General features: G+C 51.5%; 2 protein-coding genes across 5 annotated transcripts in view, besides 3 other annotated features; one reads left to right on the forward strand and one right to left on the reverse strand.

Annotated features, from left to right (window-relative positions):
- The window catches only part of MMP24-AS1-EDEM2 (MMP24-AS1-EDEM2 readthrough), a 162,759-nt gene that overhangs the window by 140,258 nt on the left and 6,856 nt on the right, over positions 1-15,645 (reverse strand). The window lies entirely within an intron of this gene.
- The window catches only part of MMP24 (matrix metallopeptidase 24), a 50,309-nt gene that overhangs the window by 28,932 nt on the left and 5,732 nt on the right, over positions 1-15,645 (forward strand). For 3 of the 4 annotated variants that reach the window (NM_006690.4, XM_011528500.3, XM_017027598.2), the window contains exons 5-7: positions 8,170-8,331; positions 11,584-11,798; positions 14,139-14,277. In NM_006690.4, the coding sequence (NP_006681.1) occupies positions 8,170-8,331; positions 11,584-11,798; positions 14,139-14,277 (516 nt within the window). The remainder of the gene's footprint in view (positions 1-8,169; positions 8,332-11,583; positions 11,799-14,138; positions 14,278-15,645) is intronic. The other variant, XM_017027597.2, reaches the window with a different exon arrangement.
- Positions 5,653-6,414: an enhancer, noted in NCBI's record as "H3K27ac-H3K4me1 hESC enhancer chr20:33849077-33849838 (GRCh37/hg19 assembly coordinates)". NCBI's record gives its function as "activates a minimal SCP1, AML or CMV promoter by ChIP-STARR-seq in naive H9 embryonic stem cells {active_cell/tissue: H9 hESC(naive)}" and the evidence as "EXISTENCE:reporter gene assay evidence [ECO:0000049][PMID:30033119]".
- Positions 6,415-7,178: an enhancer, noted in NCBI's record as "NANOG-H3K27ac-H3K4me1 hESC enhancer chr20:33849839-33850602 (GRCh37/hg19 assembly coordinates)". NCBI's record gives its function as "activates a minimal SCP1, AML or CMV promoter by ChIP-STARR-seq in naive H9 embryonic stem cells {active_cell/tissue: H9 hESC(naive)}" and the evidence as "EXISTENCE:reporter gene assay evidence [ECO:0000049][PMID:30033119]".
- Positions 7,179-7,940: an enhancer, noted in NCBI's record as "OCT4-NANOG-H3K27ac-H3K4me1 hESC enhancer chr20:33850603-33851364 (GRCh37/hg19 assembly coordinates)". NCBI's record gives its function as "activates a minimal SCP1, AML or CMV promoter by ChIP-STARR-seq in primed H9 embryonic stem cells {active_cell/tissue: H9 hESC(primed)}" and the evidence as "EXISTENCE:reporter gene assay evidence [ECO:0000049][PMID:30033119]".

The following is a 15,645-nucleotide window of genomic DNA, read 5'->3' on the forward strand; positions in this document are numbered from 1 at the left end:
CACAAGGCACATGCTTAGTATGTAGGCAAGTGTACATTATTACACCCATTTTTAAGATGAAGAGTTGGGGCTCAACTGGCATAGCTGAAAGGTGACAATGCAGGTATCAAGCCCTGGTTCAACTACTGGCTATGTGATACCCTCGGTCTCCTCGTCTGCAAAGTGAGGGGCTGGATTAGGTGATCGCTAAGGGCCCTTCCAACTCTAATGAACATGATACAAAGTCTTGCAAAGACCAGGGGGAGCTGAATGTTTGAAAAAAATGGCATGATCTCTGTCCCCTGGCAGTCCAGAGTCAGTCTAGCAGGGGAGTTAGGTGTGCACGTAAGTAACCCTGTCATAGACAGACTCTACCCAAGGCTGTAGCAGAGGCACAAAGAAATATGTAGGAGTTTGGAGGAAAGAGGGACAGAGGAGTGTGGCTTTTGGATTATAAGAGATGATAATTAGTGGGTATGCTGGTGTTCTGAGGCCCGTGCCAAGTGCTTGCCACCCATTATGTGTGGAAACTATTATATCTATTAATACATTATAATGCATAATTAAATTTATGTATTAAGCAATATATAATGTTAAATTATTATTATAGGTAAATATTGCTATCTTCATTTTACAGATAGGTAAACTGAGATATAGAGAAACATTAAGTCACCTACCTAAGGTCCCACAGTTGGTGAATGGTGAAATAAGGCTTTGAATCTGGGCATTATGGCCCTGGAGCCCATGCTGTCAGCCATCATGCTAAGCTTCCATGGTTCTCAAACTGTAGGGCACAGCAGAATCACCTGGGAACCATTTTTAAGAATTCAGATTCCAGGCCAGGCACGGTGGATCACACCTGTAATCCCAGCACTTTGGGAGGCCGAGGCAGGTGGATCACCTGAGGTCGGGAGTTCAAGACCAGCCTGGCCAACATGGTGAAACCCATCTCTACGAAAAACACAAAAATTAGCCAGGCATGTTGGCAGGTGCCTGTAATCCTAGCTACTCTGGAGGCTGAGGCAGGAGAATCCCTTGAACCCGGGAGGCGGAGGTTACAGTGAGCCGAGATCATGCCACTGCACTCCAGCCTGGGCAACAGAGATTCCGTCTCAAAAAAAAAAAAAAAAAAAAAAAAAAGACTGCAGATTCCAGGACCCTAACCTCTTGTCATTCTGATTCTCTGGGTCCGGGGTAGGGCCTGGGAATCTGCAAGTGGTCTAATACATTCCTGGGGCCTTCTGATGCAGGTGTTCCATCACCATGAGAAACGCTATCTTAATACCTAGAGTTTTCCTACCTGGCCTGATCATAAGAACCAATGGGGGTTCTTGTTATAAACGGGGATTCCCAGGCCCTTCCCACAGAAATCCTGACTCTTGAGCTCAAACAAGCTTGGGAAACACCGAGCATCCTTTTTTCCTGCCCTGCGGCTGCTCCAGGCTGAGAGCAGACTCTCAAAGCTGGTTTGGTGTCTATAGTTGGGGCCATGTTTGGTGTCTATAGTTGGGGATCACCTCCTTGAGAACACTTTATATCATCGCATGGATTAGGGATTGGCAGCTCTGGGGTTATCTGTCAAAGGCTGGACCAGGAGGTGGTTTGGCCAAGGCTCAGCCTAGGCAAAGTCATGAACCTGTTAAATTGTTCTTTGTCCTCTTCTTTCTTCAGATTTTTGTCCTCTTTCCTATTGAACTCCGTTTCCTTTGCCCTGGTATCTCTCCCGTATGTCCTGCATGTATTCCTGGCTGAGTACCTGTTCTTTATCTCATTCTTATTTTTGGATCGGTGTCAACGAATGGCTGTCTGTGCTAACAGATAAGATGTGAGGAGAAGAGAACTAATATTTTTGAGGCCCTGTTATGTGCCAGGCACTGTTAGCTGATAGGGTTTTAGTTATATTCCTGATAGAGGCAAATGAATGTCCAAAGAGTTGTCCAGAGGCAACGGGAAGACACTCCCACTCCTCTGCCCTCCCCTTCTGCCCAGCACTGGGGGTGTGCACTTCCCACACCTGCTCCTTGCTTTTGCAGAACTTGTTGGACCCAGCCCCCAAATCCCAAGAGCCGGTGGTATGTGTGGGAAGGACCGGGGACCTGTGGATGGGCACCATCCCAGCACCTCTCCCATCTGTCCAACCCTAACCTTCATGAAAGACTGCCAATTCTGATAGAAATTCCAAGATTGCTAATGTTTTCTTTGGATAAGAATCAGGACTTTGCTCTGCTCTGGAAAACCAAGCAGGAACTGTCCAGATGCAGCTCAGGACCACAGCAATCGACTCCTGAACTGGAATGCAGTGAAGGCAGGTTTTGGGTGAGAGGCAAGGAACCAAAATTTATTGAGCATCCATATATTATCTCGTTTAATTTCCACATAGACTCAGCAAAGGGGTGGAGTTTCCTGGGAACTTTTTGAACTTATTAGCTTACTTCTTTTTTCTAAACTCTCATTATGGAAAATTTCAAACTCACAAAAGTAGGAAGAATGCTTCTATGATCTCCCAGATACCCACCACCTGCCTCAGCAATTATCAACGTTGTGGCATTCCTATTTATCTACCTTTTTTTGGCTGATGTATTTTAAAGAAAATCTCAGGCATTCTAACATTTCACCTTTAAATACTTTAGTATATACCTCTAACAGATAAAGGCTAATTTTTAACATAAGCACACAATCATTATCAAGCCCAACAAAATTAACAATAATTTTTTAAAATCTAATACCCAGTTCGAGTTCACTTTCCCAAAGTACCTTGGAAATGTCTTTTACAGTTGTTTGCTTGAATCAGGATCCAAACAAGATCCACACACACATGGCTGACATGTCTCTTAAAGCCCTTTTTATTTAAAACACCCCCGTCCTACACACACGTTTCCCTCCATATATTTGTTGAAGAAACTGGGTCAGGTGTCCCGAGTATAATCATTTGGCGTGACTAGAATCAAGTTTACTTTTAATACGTCTCTCTTGCCCATAATTCCTGAATGTTGTTCATTAGATTTACAGGCTGACTAGATTCAAGTTCAATTTTTTTGGCAAGAATACTTCCTAGGTGGTGCTGGTACTTCCTATTCACCATATTAGCAAATACATATGATGCAGACTGTCCCACTTTTAGTGATGTTGAGGTCGAGCATTTGCTTCAGGTTGTGTCAGCCTGACCCAACCATTATACAATTCACCTGGAGAACTTAAAAAAAAAAAACAACAAAAAAGATTGCCTACGTCCCAAACCAAACCTCCTGAATCAGAATATCTTCCCCACCTCCTCCATGTGTTTAAAAGGCTCCCCGGGCCAGGTGCGATGGGAGCACTGGAGTAATCCCAGCACTTTGGGAGGCCGAGGGGGGGCAGATCACCTGAGGTCAGGAGTTCGAGACCAGCCTGGCCAACATGGCAAAACCCCGTCTCTACTAAAAATACAAAAATTAGCCGGGTGTGGTGGCACATGCCTGTAATCCCAGCTACTCGGGAGGCTGAGGCAGGAGAATGGCTTGAACCCGGGAGGCGGAGGTTCAAGTGAGCCGAGATTGCACCACTACACTCCAACCTGGGTGACAGAGTGAGATCCTGTCTCAAAAATAAAAAAGAAAGAAAATACTTTTTAAAAAAATAGGAAATTCACCCCTTTGGAAAGTGGCAGAGCCAGGTGTGACCCCAGGACTCCGCATTTTTAAGTCACCACAGGTGGTTCTGCTGCAGGTGGTCCGAGTATTTCCCTTGGTAAAATACGGTGCTTTTGGCGCTGTTCCATTCCGGGGGCTGTCACCTGGTTCTTCAACACAAAGCTTGTCCTCAAGGAACCCACAGTCCTGGGGCAGCGAGCATGTGCACTAGTGGCAATCACGTGGGGAGGAAGCGGTCAGTGCCATAAAGGCAGTTCAGGGAAACTGCTGGGAGGGCACAGCAGAAGGAGCACTCACTGCCAGCTGGGAAGTCATGGAAGGCTTCCTGGAAGACAGGCATGGAGCTGAACTTTGAAGGAATCAGGTTATTCCAGGGGAAGGGGCAGCACTGGCAGAAGAACAGAGGCAAAGGGAAATGCTATCACCTTTCGTGGGGCTGGGGGAGTTAATGAGATGGGAACGACCAAATATGGAGATCCTAAAAGAAAGAAATGAGGCAGAGACAAGGTCCACTTGAGTAGCCGAGTAGACTGCTGGGGACTTGCTCGGAGGCCCAGGGACTTACAGGAACACACCCTATCAGGGGTGCTGGTGCTCACACACAGCTCAACAGGACCCTGCTAATGAAGGGTAATACTTCTGTACCAGGAGCTGGTATCAGCGCATTACACACCCTGCCCCATGAATCTTCACCCACATCCCTATGACGAAGGTGCCATTGTTCCTTCTATCTTCCAGAGGAAGAATTTAAAATGTCACACTGCTAGGACATGGCAGAGCTGGGATTCAAAACCAGGCAGTCTGGCTCCCAGAGACTGCATTCCTGACCACTCTGCTTCCCTGCCGCTCACCCTCTTGAAGAGTGAAGACCCTAGCAGCCTCCTGCCCATGGAGCATGGGGTCCTCATAGCAGGCCTCTCCTCCTCATACCTCTGCCTTCACCTCACAAGCTCAGGGAGTCCTCCTGCCCCTGCCCTGCTCCCTCTGTCTCCCCCTCAGGGCTCTCTTGGGTTTCTGTGCAGCAGGATACTGGCTCCCTCGCTCTTCCCTTCCTTTTGGTTCCTGGACCCAAACCACAGGCCTCTTTCCTTTAAGGGGTCACTCCTGTTCTCTGCAGACCCAGAACAGGGGTTAAAAGAGCAAGAGACAAGGCTGCGGACAAAGGTTTTGAGTCTCCCACAGTGCTCAGAGCCGTGTTCCCTGGTTCCCAGCTGAGCTCCCTGTGGACAGCCCCTGGGGAAGAGCCTGCTCAGGAGACAGAGGCCCTGAACAGCTTGTCCCAGGTCATAGAATAGCCCAGGAGCACAGCCAGGACTGGACCCCAGGAAGCAGAGCTGCCTTCCGCTGGCTCTACCAGTTTGTTTGGGATGGAGCTCAGCGATGAGCTCACCCTTCCCTGCTGCCAGAGGGGCCAGGACCTGAGTAAGGAGCTGGGGGCGGCCTGGCCCTCTCATGCCAGCAGAAGGCCAGCCCCAGGCTTTTGGCCAACCTTGCACTGATCTTGCCCATCCCCCTTCCTTTCCGTTGCTCAAAGGTGGCTTCACAGAAGACACTGGCGGTGTCAGTAGTGTGGGAGGCATGTACTGCCCGTGGCCTGGGTCTGCCCCATGGGGTTCTTCTCTCTTCCAGAGACCTAAGCCAGGAAGGCCAAACAATCCCCACCCCCATGTGTCCCTAGGCCAGTGACGCTGGGGCCAGAGTGGGCAGTAGGACTCTAGACCACCTCCTAGGTTCCTGGCAGCCTCCCTGGACTTACAGGTGGCAGGAATGGGCCGAGCCATGCCTTAGGGCCAGAAGATAAGAGGCAGGGCTCAAGGGGCTACAAATGCCAGAGGTCAAGGCAAGCAAGGGTCTGACACTGGGCAGACAGGAGTCAGGACTGGTGATCCACAGCCTACCTGACTCCCTACCCCCTGCATTTTCTCCCCAAAGCTGCGGTTACTTCATCCCCCTAAGTTCAGGCCTCCTTGTCCTGTCCTAGGCACAATACAGAAGCCCAGGGGAGTTGGCTTTCAGAGGATCTGGTTGCTGGCGCTCCACTGGCCTCGTGCTTCCTTTCTGGTCAATGGGCTTCCTCCAGTAACCAAGCTTCTATCTTACATAGGATTACAACAGCTGCCATTCTGTGTCATACCACGCACTTCACGTGTATCTTATTCAACCTCACACAACCCGGTGAGGTAGGTCTGATGCCCCCAGTTTACAAGTGAGGACATTGAGGCTTAGGGGTAGCCCTGCTGGCCATATTCACAAACTGGCAGGGGGAATGAAGGTAATCTGTCCTACTCAGGAGCCCAAGCTCGTAACCACCGTGCCATGGAGCTGCCTCAGTTCCACCCTCAGGATCCTGTGTCCCACTTCCAGGACCTGGAGTGTGTTTTCACCTACACTTGAATCCCTGCCTCAATCTTAGCCAACAGTTCCCTGCTTCCACAACCAAGGTCCTGCAGAGAGCTGCCCACGCCCGGGCCCCACCTGCCCTGCCCGGGGTCTCCTGAAGCTGACTGCCAGTTTGCCAGGACTTGCTCTCTTTGTCCCCACTCCCTCCCTCCACCTCAGGGCATCCTTTTTTTTTTTTTTTTTTTTTTTGAGATGGAGTCTCACTCTGTTGCCCAAGCTGGAGTGCAGTGGCGCGATCTTGGCTCACTGCAACCTCCACCTCCCAGGATCAAGCGATTCTCCTGCCTCTACCTCCGGAGTAGCTGGTACTATAGGCGCAGGCCACCATATCTGGCTAATTTTTGGTATTTTTAGTAGAGATGGGGTTTCACCATGTTGGCCAAGCTGGTCTCGAACTCCTGACCTCAAGTGATCCACCCCGATCAGCCTCCCAAAGTGCTGGGATTACAGGCGTGAGCCACCACGCCCAGCCAGCTCAGGGCCTTTTCATCTCTTGTAGGGGTGGGTTGCCCCTCCACACCTGTGGGTGTTTCTCGTAAGGTGGAATGAGAGACTTAGGAAAGAAAAAGACACAGAGACAAAGTATAGAGAAAGAAATAAGGGGACCCAGGGAACCAGCGCTCACCATATGGAGGATCCCGCCAGCCTCTGAGTTCCCTTAGTATTTATTCATCATTTGTGGGTGTTTCTCGAAGAGGGGGATGTGTCAGGGTCACAAGACAATTGTGGGGAGAGGGTCAGCAGACAAACACGTGAACAAAGGTCTTTGCATCATAGAGAATGTAAAGGATTAAGTGCTGTGCTTTTAGATATGCATACACATAAACATCTCAATGCTTTACAAAACCGTATTGCTGCCCGCAGGTCCCACCTCCAGCCCTAAGGCGGTTTTTCCCTATCTCAGTAGATGGAGCATACAACCGGGTTTTATACCGAGACATTCCATTGCCCAGGGACGGGCAGGAGACAGATGCCTTCCTCTTGTCTCAACTGCAAGAGGCATTCCTTCCTCTTTTACTAATCCTCCTCAGCACAGACCCTTTACGGGTGTCGGGCTGGGGGACAGTCAGGTCTTTCCCTTCCCACGAGGCCATATTTCAGACTATCACATGGGGAGAAACCTTGGACAATACCTGGCTTTCCTAGGCAGAGGTCCCTGCGGCCTTCCGCAGTTTTTGTGTCCCTGGGTACTTGAGATTAGGGAGTGGTGATGACTCTTAAGGAGCATGCTGCCTTCAAGCATCTGTTTAACAAAGCACATCTTGCACCGCCCTTAATCCATTTAACTCTGAGTTGACACAGCACATGTTTCAGAGAGCACAGGGTTGGGGGTAAGGTTATAGATTAACAGAATCTCAAGGCAGAAGAATTTTTCTTAGTACATAACAAAATGGAGTCTCCTATGTCTACTTCTTTCTGCACAGACACAGTAACAATCTGATCTCTCTTGCTTTTCCCCACAATCTCTCGCCTGGACCCCAGCATCCAAACAGATCCCCCTGCCCCAGGTCTTGTTCCCTCTAATCCTCCCTCAACTGCAGCCAGAGTGATTTAATTGTATCACCACCCCCACTCCTACTTAAACCCCCCACTAGCCAAGAAGCTGATCCAAATTCCTTTGTATGGCATTAAGCGCCCTGCTTTCCAGCCTGGCTGACCTCATCTCTCTCCGGCCCTCCCCTCCTGCTTTGTTCCAGAGCCAGGTGGAATGAAACTGCCTGTCTCTGGACTGTGTTTATTGCATTCCATCCGCCAGGAATGCCACCCCCACCCTTCCTCTCCTGCCCCCTGAATCCGTTCTCCTGACTAACTTCTGATCCTTCAAGACTGAGCTTCAACTTCACCTTTGTGAAGCTTTCCCTGAACATCTTCCTCCAGGTTTAAATGACCCCTCTCTCCTCAGAATCCCTGCTCGACCCTCCCAGACATTCTTAAAGCACCCAGAGCCCTCTGCCTCACTTGTCACTCTCTCTCTCCTTGTCCCTGCTCTGCAGAGAGGCTTGGGAGGCAGGGGTTGTGCCTGATTTCTCTGTATGTCCCTGGTGTCCAGCACGGGGCCTGGCACAGGGCCCGTGCTCGGTGTTTGCTGAGGTAATGGGTTGGCTGACCGACTCATATCTAAGCAGGTGCCCTGGGCACCTCCCCACACTCCTCTCCACAGGGAACGACCTCTTCCTGGTGGCTGTGCATGAGCTGGGCCACGCGCTGGGACTGGAGCACTCCAGCGACCCCAGCGCCATCATGGCGCCCTTCTACCAGTACATGGAGACGCACAACTTCAAGCTGCCCCAGGACGATCTCCAGGGCATCCAGAAGATCTATGGTGTGTGGCAGGGAGAGGGGGGACTGCTCCTTCCTCGGGGCTGGGCTGTGACTGCCTACCTGTCATGGGGCAGGGGACGAGGGAGGGGGACGTTGCTATCATCAGCACTGCTGCTGTTTCTCTGTGTGTGACCTTTACAGACTTCCAATGGCTTTGCCTGGCCAGAGGGCAAGGCTTCCCCTGGCACACCTGGGAAACCTAGGGGAGGGTCTGAGCTGTAACTGAGAGGGACAAAAGTGAGGTGAGGGCCACCCATTCCCTCTCCTTTACCCCTCCCCTTCCACACTCTTCCCCGTCCCTTCATGCTTCTCTCCCTCCCTCCCACACCAGATGGTGACTGAGTGCTCCCATAGATTCCACCTCTAGCCAGGCAGGTTCACACATCTGCAGGAGTAACGGTGATACAGCGTGATGGGGACTATAACCAGAGCTTTGTTCTTTAAAAAGAAAAAACGAGGGCCAGGCGTGGTGGCTCTTGCCTGAAATCCCAGCACTTTGGGAGGCTGAGGCAGGCAGGTCACTTGAGGTCAGGAGTTTGAGACCAGTCTGGCCAACATGGTGAAACCCCATCTCTACCAAAAATATTAAAACAAACAAACAAAAAAATTAGCCAGGTGTGGTGGTGGGCAAGTGAAATCTCAGCTACTTGGGAGGCTGAGGCAGGAGAATCACTTGAACCCAGGAGGCAGAGGTTGCAGTGAGCTGAGATCGCACCACTGCACTCCAGCCTGGGCAACAGGGCGAGACTCCGTCTCAAAAAAAAAAAAAAAAAAAAAAAAAAAAAAAGAAAGAAAAGGTGAAAGATGAGAAGCTACTGCTATCTAGGTAAGATATGAAAGGCCTCCTACACACCTCTCTCCCAGTTCTGTTCACACTGGTATGTGAGGTTCTTGTTCTGGTCAAGTCAGGTGAGCTAGGGAGACCAGTTTACTTGAGCAAATGCTTGTCAAGACAGCACAGGCACCCACAGCCCACAGGCTACGGAGCACAGAAGGAGGGCTCCCTCTGGAGGAGATGACCCAGCCAGAGCCCTGGAGGACAGGCAGGACCTCCACAAGTAAAGCAGCAGAGACCAGGTGGGGGCTGTGGGTCCCAGAAGCTATTCCAAAGGTAGAACAACAGGATCTGCTGACAGATCAGACATGGGGTGAGAGGAAGGAGGGAGGGTCAAGGATGCCCCCAGGGTTTCCAGCTTTTGTAATTGTGAAGCAATAGGGTCCACCAGTCTGCAGCTCAAAATTCTAGGCTGGAGGCCGAGGCGGGCGATTACCTGAGGTCAGGAGTTCAAGTCTAGCCTGGCCAACATGGCAAAACCCTGTCTCTACTAAAAATACAAAAAATTAGCCTGGCATGGTGGTGCACGCCTATAATCCCAGCTACTTGGGAGGCTGAGGCAGGAGAATCACTTGAACCCGGGAGGCGGAGGTTGCAGTGAGCTGAGATCACACCACTGCACTCCAGCCTAGGCGACAGAGTGAGACTCCGTCTCAAAAAAAAAAAAAATCTAGGCTGGAATACTTATTTGGGATCTTTGTTGTTCAATACAGTAACCACTAGTCATACACTAGTATGTATTAAATAAACTACTATTAAATAAACTAGTATTAAATTTCATAGTAATGAAATTTAAATTTATATTTATTAGGCCGGGCGCGGTGGCTCAAACCTGTAATCCTAGCGCTTTGGGAGGCCGAGGTGGGAGGATTGCTTGAGGCCAGGAGTTCAAGACCAGCCTGGGCAACAAAGTGAGACCCCTGTCTCTACCCCCCCAAAAATATATTAAAATTATCATTTCAGTTATAGTTCTTTAGTGGGTCTCAGTCACACTAAGAACTAGTCATTCATCTTAAGACCTCAGTAGCCATATGTGGCTGTGGCTAGGGGCTACTGTAGTGAACGATGCAGATATGGACCATTTCCATCATCACAGAACACTCTACTGGACAGCTCTGATGCAGGTCTGTAAAGCCATGAGCCTGGATGAGACCACCTAGAGCAGTGATTCTCAACTTGGCTGCCCTTTGGAATTACCTTGGGATTCTAATAAAAAAACACAGACACCCAGCCCTCAGCTCTAGAGATTTGGTTTTATTAATAGTTGGGTATTGGGCGTGGTGGCTCACGCCTGTAATCCCAGCACTTTGGGAGGCCAAGGTGGGTGGATCACTTGAGGTCAGGAGTTCAAGACCAGCCTGGTCAACATGGTGAAACCCCATCTCTGCTAAAAAAAAAAAAAAAAAAAAAAAAAAATCACCTGGGTGTGGTGGTACGTGCCTGTAGTCCCAGCTACTTGGGAGGATGAGGCAGGAGAATCACTTGAACCTGGGAGGCAGAGGTTGCAGTGAGCTTAGATCACGCCACTGCACTCCAGCATGGGGGACGGAGCGAGACTCCTTCTCAAAAAAAAAAAAAAAAAAAAAAAAGTTGGAGAGCTGGCCTGGTGCTTCCTGAACATCCAGTTTGAAAAGCTCCCAAAGGTGATCCTAATATGCAGCCCAAGTGAAGAAGCACTGACCTAAGGATGAAAATGTAGAGACGGAAGAGAAGAGGACCCAAGGGCACGCCAGCCTCTAGAGTAGGGCAGATGAGGACACGCAGCCAGCAAAGGAGACTGAGAAAGAACAGCCCATGAGGCAGGAGGACAACCAAGAGAGTGTTTCCAGGAAAGTGTTTCTATGAATCTTGCTGCTCAAAATGTAGTCTTCAGACCAGCAGCATCAGCATCACCTGAGAGTGTGAAGGAATGCAAACTCTCAGGCCCCACCCCAGGCCCTCTGAGCCCTCATCTGCATTTTAGCAACATCCCCAGATGATGCATGTGCTTATTAAAGTCTGAGTCAAGTAACCATTGGATGATCTTGGCAGAGCAGTTGGAGTGGGTGACGGGTAGAAGCTGCACTGGGGTGGGAAAGAGAATAAATGAAGGGGGTGAGGAAGTGGGGCCAGTGCGTGTGAAGGGGGCAAAGAGGGTATGGCCTAAGGAAGAGCGCTGACCCTAAGGAAGGACATGATTGCTCTGTAACAGGAGAGAGAAAAGAGAAGATACCAGATTCGGGGATGGAAAGATGAGAGTCCCATTCTAATGGCTATTTTCATCCATTTTCTCAAAGACTGGGGGAGTTAAACTGGGGAGAGGGAACAGGAGGCTGAACTGGGACAGACTTGTCTCAGAGCTGCCTGGGTGATGCTGAGACTGGCAATGGGAGGCGGGAAACGGCTGCCCCCTCTCTAAGATGCAGCTCCTCTCTCCAGGACCCCCAGCCGAGCCTCTGGAGCCCACAAGGCCACTCCCTACACTCCCCGTCCGCAGGATCCACTCACCATCGGAGAGGAAACACGAGCGCCAGCCCAGGCCCCCTCGGCCGCCCCTCGGGGACCGGCCATCCACACCAGGCACCAAACCCAACATCTGTGACGGCAACTTCAACACAGTGGCCCTCTTCCGGGGCGAGATGTTTGTCTTTAAGGTAGGGCCAATGGATTGGCACCACCCAGCTGGCCCCTGACCTTTCCTCCTCCTCCCCGACATCATGGAGCTGGGGAAGGCTCCTGATTTGGGATTCGATTACAATGGGGCCTGGACAGGAGCTAGCCCAGTGGCCAGGGCATGGGGTCTCTTCCTAGTGCTGCTGGGTGAATCAACTGTTCCCAAGAGGGAGGGGGAAAGATGGGTGATCCCTCACCTCCCCTGGGGTTAATGCTGGGAGAAAGTGCTGGAAGCTGGCTTCTGGTCTGTGACCACCCTTCTTGGGACCTCAGTTTCTCCATCCGAAACCTGGGGGAGTCATTCCTCTAACAAAGAGTGTGTGAAGATCCAGTGAGTACCCGGCTCTGAAGATGGTCAACTTGGAGTAGGGGCTAGGTCAGTGGTGGCTGAGTCTGACTCCAGACCCTACCAAGGCTTGAGGGGCTGCTACTGGCAGCAGCCCAGGGTATATCTTGTCATCTGTCCTCCATCAGCCATGGACTGACAGGGTGGCAGTCTGCTTGACGTGTTGCAGGTTGGGCTCTCGGGGAGTGAACTCTGAGGTGGGGTCTGGAATGCAGGATTTCGATTAGAGAGTACTTTCAGAATCAACATTTGTGAGGGGGAGAAGGAAGCAGGACAGGGAAGAGGGAGAGGTTAAGTGGCAACAGAGGCCCATGGCAGCCTCAGCCACCCCCGCAGGGAGCTCTGGGGCTACGGTGGCCTGTCACTCAGCCTACGTTGGGTCCAAAATATCTGGAACATTATAACCCCTACCTCATTCAATCACTGGATGAGGAAGGGCATCCAGTGACTGAGGAGAGCTCTCTGAAGCAGGGAACATCCCCAAAGGGGCTGACAGTTGAAAACTGCCTGCTGGCCACACTGCTGGCCACTGGGGCAACAAGCCCTTCTCTGAAGGGGATCTGGGCAGGGTGGCTCCATCACACAGGATGGTGAAAGAGGCTGCCTCGCTCCCCTTGTGGAGTTCTCCCAGCACGCACTGAGCACTGCGCAGGAATCGGGCAGCGTGAGTCAGCCCCAGTCTGGCTTCTCACTGAGTGGCTCTAGGCAAGTCACCTGGCCTTTCTTAAGACTCCGTATATCTCAGATCAACTTAACAGAGACATGAAAGTCAAAATAAGGTCAAAAACCTGGATGTGAAAGTGCTTTGTAAAACACCTTTTAAAATACTAGCTTTTGTACCATCTTTTACAAATCATGCTTCTTCTTCTGCACTCATTCTACTTTGATCCAACTGAACCGTTCATAGGCAGGTCCGGGTTTTATCATCCCCATTTACACATAAGAAAACTGAGGCCTGGAGGCTGGGCGCAGTGGCTCACGCCTTGCAATCCCAACACTTTGGGAGGCCAAGGAGGGCGGATCATAAGGTCAGGAGATCAAGACCATCCTGGCTAACATGGTGAAACCCCATCTCTACTAAAAATATAAAAAATTAGCCGGGTGTGGTGGCGGGCGCCTGTAGTCCCAGCTACTCAGGAGGCTGAGGCAGGAGAATAGCATGAACCTGGGAGGCGGAGCTTGCAGTGAGCCGAGATTGCGCCACTGCACTCCAGCCTGGGTGACAGAGCGAGACTCCATCTAAAAAAAAAAAAAAAGAAAGAAAACTGAGGCCTGGAGGCTACAGGCCTTGCCTAGACTGCTTGTGTACCAGCCCAAGACTGAGGCACCAGTTACAAGAGGCGTTTTTACTGGACTCGGACTATTTAGCTGCCATTTACTCAACATGGACTGTGTGCCCCGTACTGGTCTGGGCATTTTGCCTAGAATCTCTCATCTGATTCTCCATTATTACCTGCACTTGCAGGTGAGGCCTAGGTCATGCAGCTATAAATGGAGGAATGTGAATTCATGCCCAGGTCTCGAGGGAATTCCCATGACTTGGCTTCCATGATCCTGGCCCTGCTGGATGGAGCCAGCCTCATGGAGGGCGCTCGGCCCAGGCTCAGTGACCACCCCAGCCTCCCACTGTCCCGAGGACCAGTCTGGCTGATGTCAGTGACGCTCCACTGCCCCCATGTGGCCACTCCAGGCCCCAACATCATCCTTTCCGGCTCCCTCACACCTCCTTTTCCACACCAGGCCTGTCTGCTGTTTGTCTCATTGTCCACCCAGCAGCAAGAGTCAGCAGGAGGCTGAATTGAAGACAGTTACAGGAGCATCCTGTCTTCCTCCCAGGGCTTTAAAAGTCAGAAGCAGCTAATGGACAGTCTCGGTGGAGGGCTGGGCTGTTGGGACCTAAGCCCCACAGCTGCAATCACTGGGTTCGGAGGCAGGGCCTGACACACCTCTCTCCCCCTCTCCCGCTTCCTCCCAGGATCGCTGGTTCTGGCGTCTGCGCAATAACCGAGTGCAGGAGGGCTACCCCATGCAGATCGAGCAGTTCTGGAAGGGCCTGCCTGCCCGCATCGACGCAGCCTATGAAAGGGCCGATGGGAGATTTGTCTTCTTCAAAGGTAATGTAGACTGTGCTGTGGGACAGTTCCCTGCCCAAGGTCTTGGGACCTCCTTTTTCCCATCTAAACTGGAAGAGGCGGGGTGGGAGGCAGATGTCCTCAGAGGGCCCCTCTAGTCTAACGGAGACACTGACCTCTGACAAATCAAGTCAGAAAGTGAGACTGAGAATCTGTATGTGCCGAGATTGGTGGGGTGACCAGCTTCGTCCACATGAAGTAGAGTGTGGGACAAGCAATTGAAGACCACCCAGTACCTCATGGGAGGCCATCGGGTCAGTTCTGTAAGAACCCAGAGGGAAGAGGTCACTCAAGCTGGGGAGGTCGGGGGAGGGTGTGGGAGGGAGCTAAGGTGCCCACCCTGTACCCAGCACTGTGCTAGGTTGTTTCATGACAGTTATCTTGACTCGGGCCAGACCTCAGATGGGTGAGATACAGATAGTGAGAAGCAAGGAAGGCATTCCAGAGGGACAACGGCTGAATAAAGGAGCAGGGCTGGGATGTGTACGGACGGCCACAGGGCTTAGAAGGCCCACCTGATGGCCACGGAGGCCCCGCCTTGGAAAGCTGTGAGAAATGGCCCAGAAAGGTCATTTGGAGGCAAATCCTGAAGAGCCCTGGCTGCCAGGCCAGAATGTGGTCTTGATCCATTAGGCCAAGGCTGGAAATTCATGGAATGTTTCCGAGCAGCAGAGAGCCAGAGGGCAGGAGGTGACAGACATGGCAGGGGCAGGGCAGCCATTTCTGAGGTGGTTCTGGAGCGCGCCACTCATGAGGCCCAAATGAGGGAGGAGCCGTGCAGCTGAAGGGCAGGGGACAGCTGCCAGGAGAGTCAGAGGGCCTCAGAAGTGGCTGAATACTCGGCCAGGCGCAGTGGCTCACGCCCGAAATCCCAGCACTTTGGGAGGCCAAGGCTGGCAGATCACCTGAGGTCAGGAGTTTGAGACCAGCCTGACCAACATGGTGAAACCACGTCTCTACTAAAATTACAAAAACTAGCCAAGCATGGTGGCACGTGCCTGTAATCCTAGCTACTCAGGAGGCTGAGGCAGGAGAATCGCTTGAACCCAGGAAGTGGAGGTTGTGGTGAGCTGAGATCACACCATTGCACTCCAGCCTGGGCAACAAGAGCCAAACTCCATCTTAAAAAAAAGAAGTGGCTGAATACTGAGAGGAGAAGGAAAGAGAGGGTCAACAGTGAGGCTAGGACTCCCTGTTGGGGACCTGGGAGGCAGAAGGTGATGAGGAGGGAGCCCCTCTGTGGTGCAGATGAGGAGCTCTGGGGAGCCAGCCAATGCAGAGCTGCCGGTAGGCCGAGGGAGGTCAGGGTTTCTGGCTCTGCTGCTCAGGTCCAGTGGGAGAGCCTCAGAG

This window comes from Homo sapiens, chromosome 20, assembly GCF_000001405.40.
Source record: "Homo sapiens chromosome 20, GRCh38.p14 Primary Assembly".
Taxonomy (NCBI): Eukaryota; Metazoa; Chordata; class Mammalia; order Primates; family Hominidae; genus Homo; species Homo sapiens.